Here is an 18092-nt window from a genome sequence, read left to right on the forward strand (position 1 = left end):
AGGTCAAATGGTATTTCTAGTGTGGAATTGTCACACTGTCTTCCACAATGGTTGAACTAGTTTACAGTCCCACCAACAGTGTAAAAGTGATCCTATTTCTGCACATCCTCTCCAGCACCTGTTATTTCCTGACTTTTTAATGATCACCATTCTAACTGGTATGAGATGGTATCTCATTGTGGTTTTGATTTGCATTTCTCTGATGGCCTATGATGATGAGCATTTTTTTATGTGTCTGTTGGCTGCATAAATGTCTTCTTTTGAGAAGTGTCTGTTCATACCCTTTGCCCACTTTTTGATGGGGTTGTTTGATTTTTTCTTGTAAATTTGTTTAAGTTCTTTGTAGATTCTGGATATTAGCCTTTTGTCAGATGGGTAGATTGTAAAAATTTTCTCCCATTCTGTAGGTTGCCTTTTCACTCTGATGGTAGTTTCTTTTGCTATGCAGAAGCTCTTTAGTTTAATTAGATCCCATTTGTCAATTTTGCCTTTTGTTGCCATTGCTTTTGGTGTTTTAGTCATGAAGTCCTTGACTTTGTCTGTGGCCTGAATTGTATTGCCTAGGTTTTCTTCTAGGGTTTTTATGGTTTTAGGTCTAACATTTAAGCCTTTAATCCATCTTGAATTAATTTTTGTATAAGGTGTAAGGAAGGGATCCAGTTTCAGCTTTCTACATATGGCTAGCCAGTTTTCCCAGCATCATTTATTAAATAGGGAATCCTTACCCCATTTCTTGTTTTTGTCAGGTTTGTCAAAGATCAGATGGTTGTAGATGTGTGGTGTTATTTCTGAGGGCTCTGTTCGTTCCACTGGTCTATATCTCTGTTTTGGTACCAGTACCATGCCGTTTTGGTTCCTGTAGCCTTGTAGTATAGTTTGAAGTCAGGTAGTGTGATGCCTCCAGCTTTGTTCTTTTGGCTTAGGATTGACTTGGCAATGCGGGCTCTTTTTTGGTTCCATATGAACTTTAAAGTAATTTTTCCCACTTCTGTGAAGAAAATCATTGGTAGCTTGATGGGGATGGCATTGAATCTATAAATTACCTTGGGCAGTATGGCCATTTTCATGATATTGATTCTTCCTACCCATGAGCATGGAATATTCTTCCATTTGTTTGTGTCCTCTTATTTTTTTGAGCAGTGGTTTGTAGTTCTCCTTGAAGAGGTCCTTCACATCCCTTGTAAGTTGGATTCCTAGGTATTTTATTCTCTTTGAAGCAGTTGTGAATGGGAGTTCACTCATGATTTGGCTCTCTGTTTGTCTGTTATTGCTGTATAGGAATGCTTGTGATTTTTGCACATTGGATCCTGAGACTTTGCTGAAGTTGTTTATCAGCTTAAGGAGATTTTGGGCTGAGACAATGGGGTTTTCTAAATATACAATCATGTCATCTGCAAACAGGGACAATTTGCCTTCCTCTTTTTCTAATTGAATACCCTTTATTTCTTTCTCCTGCCTGATTGCCCTGGCCAGAACTTCCGACACTATGTTGAATAGGAGTGGTGAGAGAGGGCATCCCTGTCTTGTGGCAGTTTTCAAAGGGAATGCTTCCAGTTTTTGCCCCTTCAGTATGATATTGGCTGTGGGTTTGTCATAAATAACTCTTATTATTTTGAGATACGTTCCATCAATACCTAGTTTATTGAGAGTTTTTAGCATGAAGGGCTATTGAATTTTGTTGAAGGCCTTTTCTGCATCTATTGAGATAATCATGTGTTTTTTGTCTTTGGTTCTGTTTATATGATGGATTACATTTATTGATTTGGGTATGTTGAACCAGCCTTGCATCCCAGGGATGAAGTCCACTTGATCATGGTGGATAAGCTTTGTGATGTGCTGCTGAATTCGTTTTGCCAGTATTTTATTGAGGATTTTTGCATCAATGTTCATCAGGGATATTGGTCTAAAATTATCTTTTTTTGTTGTGTCTCTGCCCTGCTTTGGTATCAGGATGATGCTGGCCTCATAAAATGAGTTAGGGAGGATTCCCTCTTTTTCTATTGATTGGAATAGTTTCAGAAGGAATGGTACCAGCTCCTCTTTGTACCTCTGATAGAATTTGGCTGTGAATCCATCTGGTCCTGGACTTATTTTGGTTGGTGGGCTATTAATTATTGCCTCAATTTCAGAGCCTGTTATTGGTCTATTCAGAGATTCAACTTCTTCCTGGTTTAGTCTTGTGAGGGTGTATGTGTCCAGGAATTTATCCATGTCTTCTAGATTTCCTAATTTATTTGCATAGAGGTGTTTATAGTATTCTTTGATGGTAGTTTGTATTTCTGTGGGATCAGTGGTGGTATCCCCTTTATCATTTTTTATTGTGAGTTGACAGCAATTTCATAAAGTGTCCTTTTTGAACAAAGATGGAAGCATTTGCTTTTTCTCCCTACTTGATTCCTTCAAAAGTTGGAAACTATTTGTGAGTATTCTTATTTTTATTTTTACTTTATTTTATTATTATTATTATTATTATTTTGGAGATGGAGTCTCACTCTGTTATCTAGGCTGGTGTGCAGTGGCACCATCTCGGCTCACTACCATCTCTGCCTCCTGGGTTCAAGTGATTATCCCGACTCAGCTTCCTGAGTAGCTGAGATTACAGACACGGACCATCATGCCCAGCTAATGTTTGTATTTTTAGTAGAGACGGGGTTTCACCACATTCATCAGGCTAGTCTTGAACTCATGACCTCAGGTGATCCACCTGCCTCAGCCTCCCAAAGTGCTGGGACTGCAGACGTGAGCCACCACACCCAGTGTTTTTTTTTTTTTTTGAGATGGAGTCTCGGTCTGTCTCTGGAGTGCAGTGGTGCGATCTCAGCTCACTGCAACCTCTACCTCCCAGGTTCAAGTGATTCTCCTGCCGCAGCCTACCAAGTAGCCGGTATTATATACATGCGCCACCATGCCTGGCTAATTTTTGTATTTTTAGTAGAGACAGGTTTCACAATGTAGGCCAGGCTGTCTCAAACTCCCAACCTCAGGCGATCTGCCCTCCTTGGCCTCCCAAAGTTCTGGGATTACAGGTGTGAGCCACTGCACCCAGCTGTATTCTTATTTTTATTTAAATAAGTTCAATAAAAATCTGCTCTCTATATAAGGAGGATACAATTGGAACACTGGTTTTACTACCAAGGCTTTGACTGAAATGTCTTAAAAATGTACATGAAATGCCTGGCTTCAAGAATTCCCAGCCTTATAGTGAGTGAATAAAAACAGTCACTTCCCAGCAGGCCCAAGAACATTATAAGTAAAATCTAAAGTCTCCTTTGTTTGCCTTCCTCGCCTTAAGAAATTTTTAAATTGGCCAGGCGCCGTGGCTCACGCCTGTAATCCCAGCACTTGGGGAGGCCGAGGCGGGTGGATCACGAGGTCAGGAGATCGAGACCATCCAGGCTAACACGGTGAAATCCCGTCTCTACTAAAAATGCAAAAGATTAGCCAGGCATGGTGGCAGGCGCCTGTCATCCCAGCTACTCAGGAGGCTGAGGCAGGAGAATGGCGTGAACCCAGGAGGCGGAGCTTGCAGTAAGCCAAGATCGCACCACTGTACTCCAGCCTGGGTAACACAGTGGGACTCCATCTCAAAAAAAAAAAAAGAAAAGAAATTTTTAAATCTGAGATTCATGTATGCTCAATATAGAGATAAAAATTTATGTTTCTAAAGAGAAACTATAATACATCTTTTGTTATGTAGTAGCCCTGTGCCTTACTTCCAAGTTCTTGTTATCTGCCTGTAGACTGGAGTAGGTCCTGAAGCCTCCTACTTTCTCCAATATTTGGCTGCAGCTTTCACCCTCAAAATGAAAGCTGCTCTATTCCTAAAGTCCTATAAGCTAACATTAGATTAATTTTAAGGAACAAGCCTCATGCTTGGTGTGTGTGCCACGCAAAAAGTTCACCAAACTGCCCAATGTCATGACCAAAGACATCCAAATTACAAACCCAGAGAAGTTAATGTTTTCACACTGTAAACAGCTTTTCCCAAGATGTTGGAACAAGGCTCCATGTCACAATGAGAATTTTATCCTCCTTAATGCTACCTTGTTTACTTCGCAGGATAATGGTGTAACAGAAACTTTGCCATCAATACCTTCTTGCTGGTAACTTAACAAACTCTAACCTAAAAAAATCCTTTAGGAGCCATTGATTAAATTTTTAAAAAGTCTGTGCTATTGCTAATACTACATGCTGTATCTAAGTAAATTATCTGGGAAAATTGAGACCCATGTACACAAAATAAACAATCAAGCCACGTAGTTACAACAGATCTCACCTAATTCTCTCTGGTCTTTGATTTATTCAGCTGTTTGTCTTAAAAATAATTATTTCTAATTGTTATGAGTAAGTAATAATGTATATATTTGTGGGGTACTTGTGATGTTTTGATACAGACACAAAATGTGTAATGACCAAATTAGTGTAATCAAGGTAACCATCAGCTCAAGCATTTGTCATTTATTTGTGTTAAGAATAGTCCAATTTGGCTGGGTGTGGTGGCTCACGCCTGTAATCCGAGCACTTTGAGAGGCTGAGGCAGGCGTATCACAAGGTCAAGAGATGGAGACCATCCTGGCCAACATGGTGAAACCGTGTCTCTACTAAAAATACAAATATTAGTTGGGTGTAGTGGCACATGCCTGTAATCCCAGCTACTCGGGAGGCTGAGGCAGGAGAATAACTTGAACGCGGGAGGTGGAGGTTGCAGTGAGCTGAGATCACATCACTGCACTCCAGCCTGGTGACAGAGTGAGACTCTGTCTCAAAAAAGAATAGAAAAGAATAGTCCAATTCCACTGTTTTAGTTATTTTGAAATATACAATAAATTGTTGTTAACTATAGTCATCCGATTTTGGTTCCAAATACTGATCTTATTCATTACATACAACTGTATTTTAGTGCCATTAGCCATCCCCACTTTATCCCTGCCTCCTCACTACCCTTCCAAGCCTCTGGCAACCACCATTCCACTCTTTATCACCATGAGATTGATTTTTTTTAGCTTCCACAGATGAGTGAGAACATGTGATATTTGTCTTTCTGTGCCCAGCTTATTTCACTTAACATGATGTCTTCCAGTTCCATCAATGTTGTTGCAAATGACAATATTTTGTTCTTTTTTGTGGCTGAATAGTATTCTACTGTATGTATATGCAACACATTTTCTTTATCCATTTGTAGTAGTCAGTCTTCTCTAGAGGGACAGAACTAATAAAATATATATATATATATATAAAGGGGAGTTTATTAAGTATTAACTTACATGATCACAGCGTTCCACAATAGGCTCTCTGCAAGCTGAGGAGCAAGGAGAGCCAGTCCAAGTCCCAAAACTGAAGAACTTGGAGTCCAGTGTTCAAGGGCAGGAAGCATCCAGCACGGGAGAAAGATGTAGGCTGGGAGGCTAGGCCAGTCTCTCCTTTTCATGTTTTTCTTCCTGGTTCATATTTGCTGGCAGCTGATTAGACTGTGCCCACCAGATTAAGGGTGAATCTGCTTTCCCTAGCCCACTGACTCAAATGTTAATCTCTTTTGGCAACACCCTCGCAGATACACCCAGGATCAATATTTTGTATCCTTCAATCTGAAAAGTTGATGCTCAGTATTAACCATCACAAGTCTACTCCTAGTCAACTTGAACTGATACACATCTCCTGAGATCACACATAGTCTTCAAATAAAGACAATAATAAGGTCACAATTACGCCTAACACAATACAACTATCCTTCGTACAACGGGAAACGTACCAATCCCCAAATACTATTACATAAAGTTAACAATATTTAAATGCTGATATGAAGTCAATAAATCTTATGTCACATGATAAAGGAAAAGGAAATAAAATAAAGATATTTTCTTAGTACAAGTTTATACATGCACAAACATGTTTTCAGCAAAAGAAGAAGGAAATACTCATGACAATTACAGTCCCTATTTCTGCACCTAGTCACTTCGTCGTAGCTGGTATTGATGACTACCTTCTTCTACTAGCCATTCTGTGTTCCCTTTGCCTTCAGCAAGCACCTCAGCAGGTTGTGGGTTTTTTCCTGGTGGAGTGACCCAAACCTTCATTCCTGAGGGGTCTGGGCCATTTGTAGTCCTGCCTGGATTGGGCTGTTGTAGTTTTCCATTGACCTTAATCACAGGACATGGTAATACTAAGAGATGTCCTAATGGATCTCCTGTATTCCATGCATTCTCTTCCTTACCTCCATTGTGAAGTAGTAGACTGATTTCATCTTGATAGTCTGGGTCAATCACCACAGCCAAAACTTTAACTCCCTTCTTAGCCTGTTGACTTAAAGGTAGGAGGAGCGCAAAGTGTCCAGGTGGCAATCTTAACTTCCAGTTTAATGGAATCGTTGTTGTGTCTCCTGGTGGCAGTGTTTCTTCCTCTGGAACTAAGACCTCTAGGCCAGCAGAACATAATGTTCCAGGAGCAGGAAGCAAAAATTTTGCTAGTGGATCACTAGGGGTGATGGTGAATGGTGCCACTTCCACTCTCACCCCTTGATTCCTGGACCCATGAATCCTGGCTATGGGAGAAACAGTACCATATATTGGATGCTGATTCAGAGCATACATGGTCTTCTGGAGAACTTTGCCCCAGCCCTGCAAAGTATTGTCACCTAGTTGGCATTGTAATTGTGACTTCAAAAGGCCATTCCACCGTTCTATCAATCCAGCTGCTTCAGGATGATGGGGAACATGGTAAAACCAGTGAATTCCATTGAGCATGAGCCCACTGGTTCCCTTCTTTAGCCGTAAAGTGAGTGCCTTGGTCAGAGGCAATGTTGTGTGAAATACCATGACAGCGGATAAGGCATTCCATGAGTCCACAGATGGTAGTCTTGGCAGAAGCATTGTGTGCAGGATAGGCAAACCCATATCCGGAGAAAGTGTCTATTCCAGTGAGGACAAACCTCTGCCTTTTCCATGATGAAAGAAGTCCAGTATAATCAACCTGCCACCAGGTAGCTTGCTGATCACCCCGAGGAATGGTGCCACATAGAGGGCTCAGTGTTGGTCTCCGCTGCTGGCAAATTGGGCACTCAGCAGTGGCCTTAGCTAGGTCAGCCTTGGTGAGTGGAAGTCCATGTTGCTGAGCCCAGGTGTAACCTCCATCCCTGCCACCATGGCCACTTTGTTCATGGGCCCATTGGGTGATGACAGGGGTGGCTGGGAAAAGAGGCTGAGTGGTGTCCACAGAACAGGTTACCCTATCCACTTGATTATTAAAATTCTCCTCTGGCCTAGTGCAGTGGTTCATGCCTGAAATCCCAGCACTTTGGGAGGCCGAGGCGGGTGGATCACCTAAGGTCAGGAGTTCGAGAGCAGCCTGACCAACAAGGTGAAACCCCGTCACTACTAAAAACACAAAAATTAACCGGGCGTGGTGGCAGGCGCCTGTAGTCCCAGCTACTCGGGAGGCTGAGACAGGAGAATTGCTTGAACCCAGGAGGCAGAGGTTGCAGTGAGCTGAGATTGCACCACTGCACTCCAGCCTGGGCGACCGAGCGAGACTCTGTCTCAAAAAAAAAAAAATTATCCTCTGCTGAGGTCACCTGTTGGTGAGTACTCACACAGGATACAAATATCTTCACGATTTTTGCCCACTCAGAGAGGTCCATCCGCATACCTCTTCCCCAAGTTTCTTTGTCATCAATTTTCCAATCAACACTTCTTCCAAGTCCCTGACCAGCCAAACCATTGGCTACAGCCCATGAATCAGTATATAATTGGACATCTGGCAATTTCTCCTTCCATGCAAAGTGCACAACCAGGTGCACTGCTCGAAGTTATGCCCACTGGGAAGATATGCCTTTACCGTTGTCCTTCAGGGATGTCCTACAAAGGGGCTGGAGTGCTGCAGCTGTCCACTTTCAGGTGGTGCCTGCATATTGTGCAGAACCATCTGTGAGCCAGGCACTAGTCTTCTCCTCCTCTGTCAACTGATCATAGGGAACTCCTCATGAGGCCATTGGTGCAGGCTGGGGGCGAGAAGGCAGGGTGGCAGGAGTGGAGACCATAGGCATTTGAGCCACTTCCTCATGTAACTTACTTGTGCCTTCAGGACCTGCTCGAGCCCTATCTCGTATATACCACTTCTGTTTGATGATGGAATGCTGCTGGTTGCACGACCCAGTTTATAACTAGATGGGTCAGAAAGCACCCAGTTCATGATAGGCAGTTCAGGTCACAGGGTGAGTTGATGACTTATAATCAAACGTTCAATTTGCACCAAAGCCCAGTAACAGGCCAAGAGCTGTCTCTCAAAAGGAGAGTGGTTATCTGAAGAAGATGGTAGGGCCTTGCTCCAAAATCCTAGAGGCCTTCACTGTGATTCACCTATGGGGGCCTGCGAAACGCTCCAAACAGCATCCCTATCTGACACCGACCCCTCAAGCACCATTGGATCTGCTGGGTCATATGGCCCAAGTGGCAGAGCAGCTTGCACAGCAGCCTGGACCTGTGTGCTGAGAAGGCCTTGCAGAGCCTTCTCCTGTTCTGGATCCCACTCAAACTGGCAGCCTTTCAGGTCACTCGATAAATGGGCCAGAGTAATACACCCAAATGAGTAATGTGTTGCCTCCAAAATCCAAATAGACCCACTAGCCGTTGTGCCTCTTTCTTGGTTGTAGGAGGGGCCAAATGCAGCAACTTGTCCGTCACCTTAGAAGGAATATCTTGACAGGCCCCACACCACTGTACCCCTAGAAATTTTACTGAGGTAGAAGTTCCCTGAATTTTACTTGGATTTATTTCCCATCCTCTGGTATGCAAATGTCTCACTAATAAGTCCAGTGTGTTTGCTACTTCTTGCTCACTGGATCCAATCAGCATACTGTCATCAATGTAATGGACTAGGGTGATATTTTGCAAAAGCAAAAAGTGATCAAGATCTCTTTGAATCAAAGCTGGAGCATTGATGTACCCCTGAGGTAGGACAGTAAAGGTATATTGCTGGCCTTGCCAGCTAAAGGCAAATTGCTTCTGGTGGGCCTTTTGGACAGGGATTAAGAAAAAGGCATTTGCCAAGTCAATGCCTGCATACCAGGTACTAGGAGGTGTGTTAATTTGCTCAAGCAATGAAACCACATCTGGTACAGCAGCTGCAATTGGAGTCACCACTTGGTTAAACTTATGATAATTCACTGTCATTCTCCAAGATCCATCTGTCTTCTGCACAGGCCAGATGGGAGAGTTGAACAGGGATGTGGTGGAAATCACCACCCCTCCATCTTTCAAGTCCTTGATGGTGGCACTAATCTCCGCAATCCCTCCAGGGGAAAGATACTGTTTTTGATTTACTATTTCTGTAGGTAGAGGCAGCTCTAATGGCTTCCATTTGGCCTTCCCGCTTAATAGCCCTCACCCTACCAGTGAGGCAGCCAATGTGGGAGTTCTGCCAGCTCCTAAGTATATCTATGCCAATGATGCATTCTGGCACTGGGGAAATGACCACAGGATGAGTCCAGGGGCCCACTGGACCCACTGTAAGTCAGACCTGAGCTAAAACTCCATTAATTACCTGACCTCCATAAGCCCCTGCTTTAACTGGAGGACCACAATGATGTTTTGGGTCCCCTGGAATCAACGTCAGCTCAGAGCCAGTGTCCAGTATTCCCCCAAATGTCTGATCATTTCCCTTTCCCTGATGCACAGTTACCCTGGTAAAAGGCCAAAGGTCTCTTTGTGGAAGGATGGGAGAAAGATTCACTGCATAAATTGTTGGTAATGGGCTGGACACAGTGGCTCACATCTGTAATCCCAGCAATTTGGGAGGCAGAGGCGGGCGGATCACCTGATGTCAGGAGTTCAAGACCAGCCTGGCCAACATGGTGAAACCCCGCTTCTACTAAAAATACAAAAATTAACCAGGCCTAGTGGCACACGCCTGTAATCCCAGCTACTCAGGAGGCTGAGGCAGAAGAATCGCTTGAACCTGGGAGGCGGAGTTTGCAGTGAGCCGAGATCATGCCATTGCACTCCAGCCTGGGTGACAGAGCAAAACTCTATCGCAAAAAAAAAAAAAAAAACATTGTTGGTAAAGTAGTGGAGACCTTCCTCAAAGGGACCTGGCCTCCCCTTTATTCAAGGAGCTCTGGGTTGTGAATTGGCTCAAGTCTGGAAATTGATTGAGGAGCCGTGATTCTCTGTTTTTATAATTCAAATCAGTGTTTTGTCCATTCAACCTAGACATTTCCTGCTAGTGTAAATTTAGTAGGAATGGAGTAGGCTTCCTATCAATTTCACTTCTAGGAGCACCGTGATTAATTAGCCAATGCCAGAGCTCTACACAAGTCAAACTATTCTGATTGCTGTTTTGCCTCTGCTGTCCATTATGGTAGCTATGCCCACCTTGTCTTTGACAGTTGAGTGCCACCACTTGGCCCCTGTGACCTCAGAATTCAGTTATTTCCATTGTATTTATTTTTTATTTTTATTTTTATTTCTGAGACAGAGTCTTGGTTTATCGCCCAGGCTGGAGTGCAGTGGCTCAATCCTGGCTCACTACAACCTCCACCTCCCAGGTTCAAGCAATTCTCCTGTCTCAGCTTCCCAGTAGCTAGGATTACAGGCACCCGCCACCACGCCTGGCTAATTTTTGTGTTTTTAGTAGAGATGGGGTTTCACCATGTTAGCCAGGCTGGTCTTGAACTCTTGACCTCAGGTGATCCACCCACCTTGGCCTCCCAAAGTGCTGGGATTACAGGCATGAGCCAAACTGCCTGACCTATTTCCATTGTATTTAAATTTTGTAGTTGAGTGACTGTGGTTGCCACTCTTAGATCTGACATACAGAGAAGAGGAATGACAGGGCTCTTCAAAGATACAGGTGCTGCCCTCAGAAATCTATTTAGCAAGGCATTGGTCAAGGCTATATCTTCTGGATCCTCCCAGCTGGGATGAGTAGGTCTAAAGTCACTAATGCACTCCACCATCCCAATCTCCCTAAGCCATTTGATCCCTTCCTCTACATTAAACCAAGGGAAATCAGGCATTTTAGCACACTCACAGTGGACCATATTTTAATACATATTTCTGCTAACCAAGCAAGTAAACAATTAGAACCTTTTTTAACTCCCCAAGCTGCAACATTAAAAGCAGAGTCCTTACTTAGTGGGCCAAATCAATAAATTCAGCCTGATCCAATTCTATGTTTCTTCCACAATTATCCCATATCCTTAGTATCCATTCCACTGCCTGTTCTCCGGGTTTCTGTTTCTATAAATTAGAGAACTCAAACAGCTCCTTTCGAGTGTAGTGCACCTCCTCATGGGTCACACTCTCAACCTCACATCTAGGGGCCCACTAGGACTTTAGTCTCATTATAGGTCTTGAAGCAAACAGAGGTGTTGGGGGTAGCTCCTGAAGAGAATCAACATTATCTTGCCTGGCAGCTGCCTCAGGGGAGGCCATCGCTATTGCCTCAGGCAGTGCAGGGTTTATCTCCTTAGACAAAGGTGGAAAGGCTGATGGCAGCATGGGTCGAGGAGAGGATGCTGCTACTACTGGGGATGGGGAAGCTGTTCCTTCTGGCAAAAAACGTTCATCAGAGTTTACAAACTCAGTGTCCCCGACTTCATCAGGGTCCTCCCACAAATCCACATTCCAAGTTTCAGGGTCCCAGTCTTTTCCCATGAATGCCCTCACTTTAACAGTAGACACCTGGCAAAGCTGTACATGTATCTTTCATTGGGGGTCAGCCACTCACATGTTAAGAGCTTGTATCTGTTTTTCCACAATTTCAGTTTTCTCTACAGGAGATACGACTCTCACTCAGGGCAATCTTAGCAGATTTGAGGCTCAGTATCTGTTTCTGAAGCCAGGAGACAGAATCCCTGAGTTTATCATTTTCTTTCATCACTTTGTCCATTGAACTTAGAAGCAACCAACCAGCTTCATTATGTTCCTTGGTTCTCCACATATGGTCAAAGATATTATGTATAGAGTCACTAAACTCTTTGCCTCTCATGAGTGGTGAATCAGGTGTGCCAAATGCATTTATTTTGTATAACTCTCTAAACAGTTCACACCAAGGACTATCAGTGTTCTCCATACTATTAGAAGTAGAGTCCTTAGCATTTTTGGGTCTAATCATATTAAGCAGCCAAATCCAGAAACCCCAAAAATGAAAGAACTCCATCCTTAACATTCTGTTCCTCTAGAACCACTCCTGGTACCAAAATCTGTATTAGTCAGGGTTCTCTAGAGGGACAGAATAGAAGATACACACACACACACACACACACACACACACACACACACACACACACACGGGAGTTTATTAAGTATTAACTCACACGATTACAAGGAATCACAATAGGCTGTCTGCAAGCAGAGGAGCAAGGAGAGACAGTCCGAGCCCCCACAAATGAAGAACTTGGAGTCCAATGTTCGTGGGCAGGAAGCAACCAGCATGGAAGAAAGATGTAGGCTGGGAGGCTATCCTTTTCACGTTTTTCTGCCTGCTTTACATTCGTTGGCAGCTGATTATATTGGGCCCACCAGGTTAAGGGTGAATCTGCCTTCCTCAGTCCACTGACTCAAATGTTAGTATCTTTTGACAACACCCTCACAGCCACACCCAAGATCAATACTTTGTATCCTTCGATCCAATCAAGTTAACACTCAGTACTAACCATTATACCATTCATCCATTGATGGAAAAGCAGTTGATTTCAACCTGATTTGGGGTATCTAATTATTAGGGTACTTGATATAATAAATTTTTAAATGTATCAGGAAGCTAAAGAACGAGTCATGAATAAACAAAAAATATTCATTATACCATATGGATACCATAGCATATTTCATCCATTCTAAAATGTGGATGAAATATGGGGAAAAAGTAGGGGAACCTCTACTTCTCAACTTAACATCTGAAACTGGGATCAGTTGTATAACACTTGTTAGTAATTGCCTCTGCATGTGCATCATAACTTGCAGAATGGCCGTCGCCCACTTGGCAGAAATTTCTTGAGTCCATAACAGAATGCCCTTAAGAAATACCTCATCACCAACATTCTTGATGGTCAGATGTTGATATTTGTTAAGGTCTTTAAAGAGTCTGAGATTTTACCCTCCTCGCAAGCTAACAAGCTACCTGTTAAATTGTGTGGATCTAAGCATGGGGTGGATGCTGGCAGAAAACATGAGACTCCAGGGGTTAGAGAAAAAAGGCTGCATTTTTCAAGTCAAAAGCAATAGGCAGAATGTTCAGGTGATGTTCATGAGGTTTCCCAAGCCTCCCAATTCCCACAGGGACAACACAGGTGGCCTAGATGGACAAATTGGGTTGTGTTACAGGAGAAAAAAGTTGAGCTGGGAGATTTATCATTTTTACAGTGAGTGGCAAATAGGCTGGCTCACTGTTGGGACATTACCTCAGCAAACACCACCCTAAGAAATAGCTAAGGAAGGAGTGGTCAGGGCCTTGCATTCTTGGCATACCCTGCAAGGGCGTGGGGCACTCAAGGTCATGGTGTAGTCTTTCCCATCAATATTGTGTTAGAAAACAGACATCAGTATCTGAATTCAAAAATGGTTTAGAAGAATTAGTCTATCAATATAAAATTATTTTTAATATACCTTAACTAATTTATTTAGTTTCTGTTTTCTTTTTATGAATGTACAACAATAATATGATAAAAATCTATCTTAATAATCTAAAGAACTCTTTCAATAAATGTAAAATAAAAATTCTTTTTTTTTTTTTTTTTTTGAGATGGAGTCTCACTCTGTTGCCAGGCTGGAGTGCAGTGGCACGATTTTGGCTCACTGCAACCTCTGCCTCTCAGGTTCAAGCGATTCTCCCGACTCAGCCTCCTGAGTAGCTGGGACTATAGGCACTTGCCACCACGCCCAGCTAATTTTTTGTATTTTTTGTAGAGACGGGGTTTCACCAGGTTGGCCAGGATGGTCTCCATCTCTTGACTTCGTGATCCACCCGCCTCGGCCTCCCAAAGTGCTGGGATTACAGGCGTGAGCCACCGCGCCCGGCCAAAATAAAAATTCTAAATGACGAGAATGAGAATTCATTGTCAGTTTAAGTTTAATTGGCAACATTTTTTCTTTCTTTTCTTTTCTTTTCTTTTCTTTTTTTTTTTTTTTGAGATGGAGTCTCACTCTGTCACCCAGGGTGGAGTGCAGTGGCACAATCTTGACTCACTGCAACCTCTGCCTCCCACGTTCAAGCGATTCTCCTGTCTCAGCCTCCGGAGTAGCTGGGACTACAGGCGCCCACTACCACGCCCGGCTAATTTTTGTATTTTTAGTAAAGGCGGGGTTTCACCATGTTGGTCCGACTGGTCTCAAACTCCTGAACTCATGATCCGTCTGCCTCAGCCTCCCAAGGTTCTGGGATTACAGGCGTGAGCCACCGTGCCCGGCCTACATTTTTTCTTTCTTGGTAATTCATAAACTGATGGTGTCTTAAACTGATGATGTCTTGCAATTGATGACATTTGAGACTAGATTAAATATTTAATGTTTCTCATTATTATGTATGCGATTTATCTCACTGTAATTTCTAATTTTTATTGTTGGAATGTGGCAATACAGTTTAGTCAATTTACCTTGCAGTTTTGCTAGTTCTCTTATTCTATTATTTTATCAAATTGTTTTTGGTAGTTCACTTGGTTTTTCAAAATATGCAATCATGTTGCCTTCATATGGAAATATTGTTTACATTTTTACTTGACCAGCCTGGGTAACGTGGTGAAACCCCATCTTAAATACAAAAAAAAAAAAAAAAAAATTAACCAGACATGGTGGCATGTGCCTGTAGTGCCAGCTACTCAGGAAGCTGAGGTGAGAGGATCACTTGAGCCTGGGAGGTTGAGGCTACAATAAGCCCTGATTGCACCACTGCACTCCAGCCTGGGTGACAGAGTGAGACACTGTCTCAAAACAAACAAACAAACAAACAAACAAACAAACAAATACCAGCATCTGCATTATTGTGTTCACTGGAAATGGTGTGGTTGTATAGACTCTAGCCCTTTCTCTTCAGTATATGAATTAACAGAACAAATACACTGGCAAAAATAGTAACTGTGATAAAATGTGAAAACAATGTATAATTTGATTTGCAAAATTCTATAACTTGTAAAAGATGGTGTTGCCATAGTCTGGATATTAAATCTTGTTTTTAAACACATGGAATTTAGGAATTAATGTGAATTTAAATCACTCCCTATAAGTGATATAATCATATAATTATGTCCTTTTGTCTCCATTTAGGTGACCTAGTACATTAATAATTTTAAAATTATATCAAATTATCTTTCATTATACAATATGTATCTTAATCTGCTCAGCAAACAATTGGTAAGTCTCCAATTACTTGTAGACTACTTGTTAGACTGGGAAACTGATACAAAGGTAAACAAGACACAGTGTTTCCCCTTTAAAAAAAAAGTCATAGGCCAGGTGTGGTGGGTCCCCTCTGTAATCCCAACACTTTGGGAGGCCGAGGCAGGTGGATCAGGAGGTCAGTGGCCGGTTCCTGCCTTAACTGATGACATTACCTTGTGACATTCCTTCTCCTGGACAATGAATATCAGAAGCTCCCCACCGAGCACCTTGTAACCCCCGCCCCTGCCAGCAAGAGAACAACCCCCTTTAACTGTAATTTTCCACTACCTACCCAAATCCTATAAAACTGCCTCACCCTTGTCTATCTCCCTTTGCTGACTCCTTTTTTGGACTCAGTCCGCCTGCACCCAGGCGATTAAAAAGCTTTATTGCTCACACAAAGCCTGTTTGATGGTCTCTCTCCACATGGACGTGTGTGACAGGAGTTCAAAACCAGCCTAGCCAACATGTTGAAATCCCATTGCTACTAAAAATACAAAAATTAGCCAGGCATGGTGGTGGGCACCTGTAATCCCAGCTACTCAGGAGGCTGAGACAGGAGAATTGCTTGAACCTGGGAGGCAGAGGTTGCAGTGAGCCAAGATCATGCCACTGCACTCCAGGCTGGGCAACAAAGAGTGAAACTCAGTCTCAAAAAAAAAAAAAAAGTTGTATGTTTAAATGCTTGAGCATTTAAATATTAGACATTAAGTGATTCATAATAATTCAGTCAAATAGTGTTTAGTTTTTTATTTCTACATTTTAATAGTAAAATGTATATGTACAGAAGTATATATAAAATATGTATGTAAAGTTAATAAAATATGGAGTAAACATCATGAAAATACCACCGAGGTCAAGAAAGAGAAGATTGCTAGCTTTCTCTTTCTCAGAGAAGATTGCTAGCTTGTCGTGCTCCTTGGAGGTAAGCATTTAGACTTTTTTTTTTTTTTTTGACACAATCTCACTCTGTCACCAAGGCTGGAATGCAGTGGTGTCATCATAGCTCATTGCAGCCTTGACCTCCCTGGCTCAAGTGATCCTCCCACCTCAGCCTCCCAAGTTGCTGGGATACCACCAGGTGGCTAATTTTTTTTTTTTTTAAATAAAGGTAGGGCCCAGGCTATGTTGCCCAGGCTAGTCTCAAACTGCTAGGCTCAAGTGAGCCTCCTGCTGTGGCCTCCCAAATTGCTGGGATTACAGACATGAGCCACTGTACCTGGCCCATTAGACCAAATTTTATGATATCTTTTGTTTCTCTATGGTTTTTGCCAATTATGTATACATATCTAAACAATATGGGGCAGGGTTATTATTATTATTTTTGCTCTGTTTGAAATGTGAGTAAATGGAGTCGTAGTGCAGATACTCTTTTTGTTACTTAATTATTTCACTTAACATATTGTTGCTTATCATGCCATGGTTGTCCATTGCATGAATACACCACAGTTTATTATTTATTCATCTAATTATGGAAATTTTTATTGTTTCCAGTTTGGGGCTAGTATGAGTGAAGCTGCTCTGAACGTTATTGTGCAAGTTTTTCTGTGGACGTAGGTTTTTATTTCTCTTGAGTAACTATCGAGGAGCAAATCACTAGGGATTTCTGAGTTACATGAATACATGGTTAACTTTAAAAGAAACTGCCAAACCGTTTTTTTTCCTTTTTTTTTTTTTTTGAGATGGAGTTCCACTCTTGTTGCCCAAGCTGGAGTGCAATGGCGTGATCTCAGCTCACTGCAATTTCCACCTTCCTGGTTCAAGCGATTCTCCTGCCTCAGCCTCCCAAGTAGCTGGGATTACAGGCACACACCACCACTCCTGGCTAATTTTTTTTATATTATTAGTAAAGACAGGGTTTCATCATGTTGACCAGGCTGGTCTTGAACTCCTGACCACAGGTGATCCGCCCACTTCGACCTCCTGAAGTGCTGGGATTACAGGCGTGAGCCACTGTGTCAGACCTAAACCGTTTTCCAAATTGGCTGTACTATTATTTTGTATTCAAACTAACAACATATGAGTTCCAGTTACTCCACATCCTTGCCAATGCTAGAAATGGCCAATCTTTTTAATTTGAGTAACTTGTGGATGTGTAGTCACACATCTTATTATACTTTCAATTTGCCTTTCTCTACTGAGTAACAATGTTGACCATTTTCTCAGTGCTTATTGCCATCCATGTATCTTCTTGGACAAAGTAGCCAAATCTTTTGCCCATTTTTTTTTGGAAGGGTAGGGGCTGTCTCCTTATTGAATTGTGAGATTATTATAAATATATTATGTATTATTATTATTTTTGAGACTGAGTCTAGCTCTTTTGCCCAGGCTGGAGTGCAGTGGAGTGATCTCCACTCACTGCAGCGATTCTCCTGCCTCAGCCTCCTGAGTAGCTGGGACTACAGGCGCCCACCACCGCGCCCAGCCAATTTTTGTATTCTTAGTAGAGACAGGGTTTCACCATGTTGGCCGGGCTGTGCTTGGACTCCTGACCTCAAGTGATCTGCCCACCTCAGCCTTCCAAAGTGCTGAAATTATAGATGTGAACCACAGTGCCCGGCCAGTATTATATATATTTTAGATACAACTACTTTATATCTATAGTTTGTAAATATTTTATTCCAGTTTGTAGTTTGCCTTTTCAGTTTCTTTCGAAGAGCGGATGTTTTTCATTTTGACAAAATCCAATTTAGCAACTTTTTCCTGATTAAAGTTTTTGTGTTCTGA

Source organism: Homo sapiens, chromosome 5 (genome assembly GCF_000001405.40).
Source record: "Homo sapiens chromosome 5, GRCh38.p14 Primary Assembly".
NCBI lineage: Eukaryota > Metazoa > Chordata > Mammalia > Primates > Hominidae > Homo > Homo sapiens.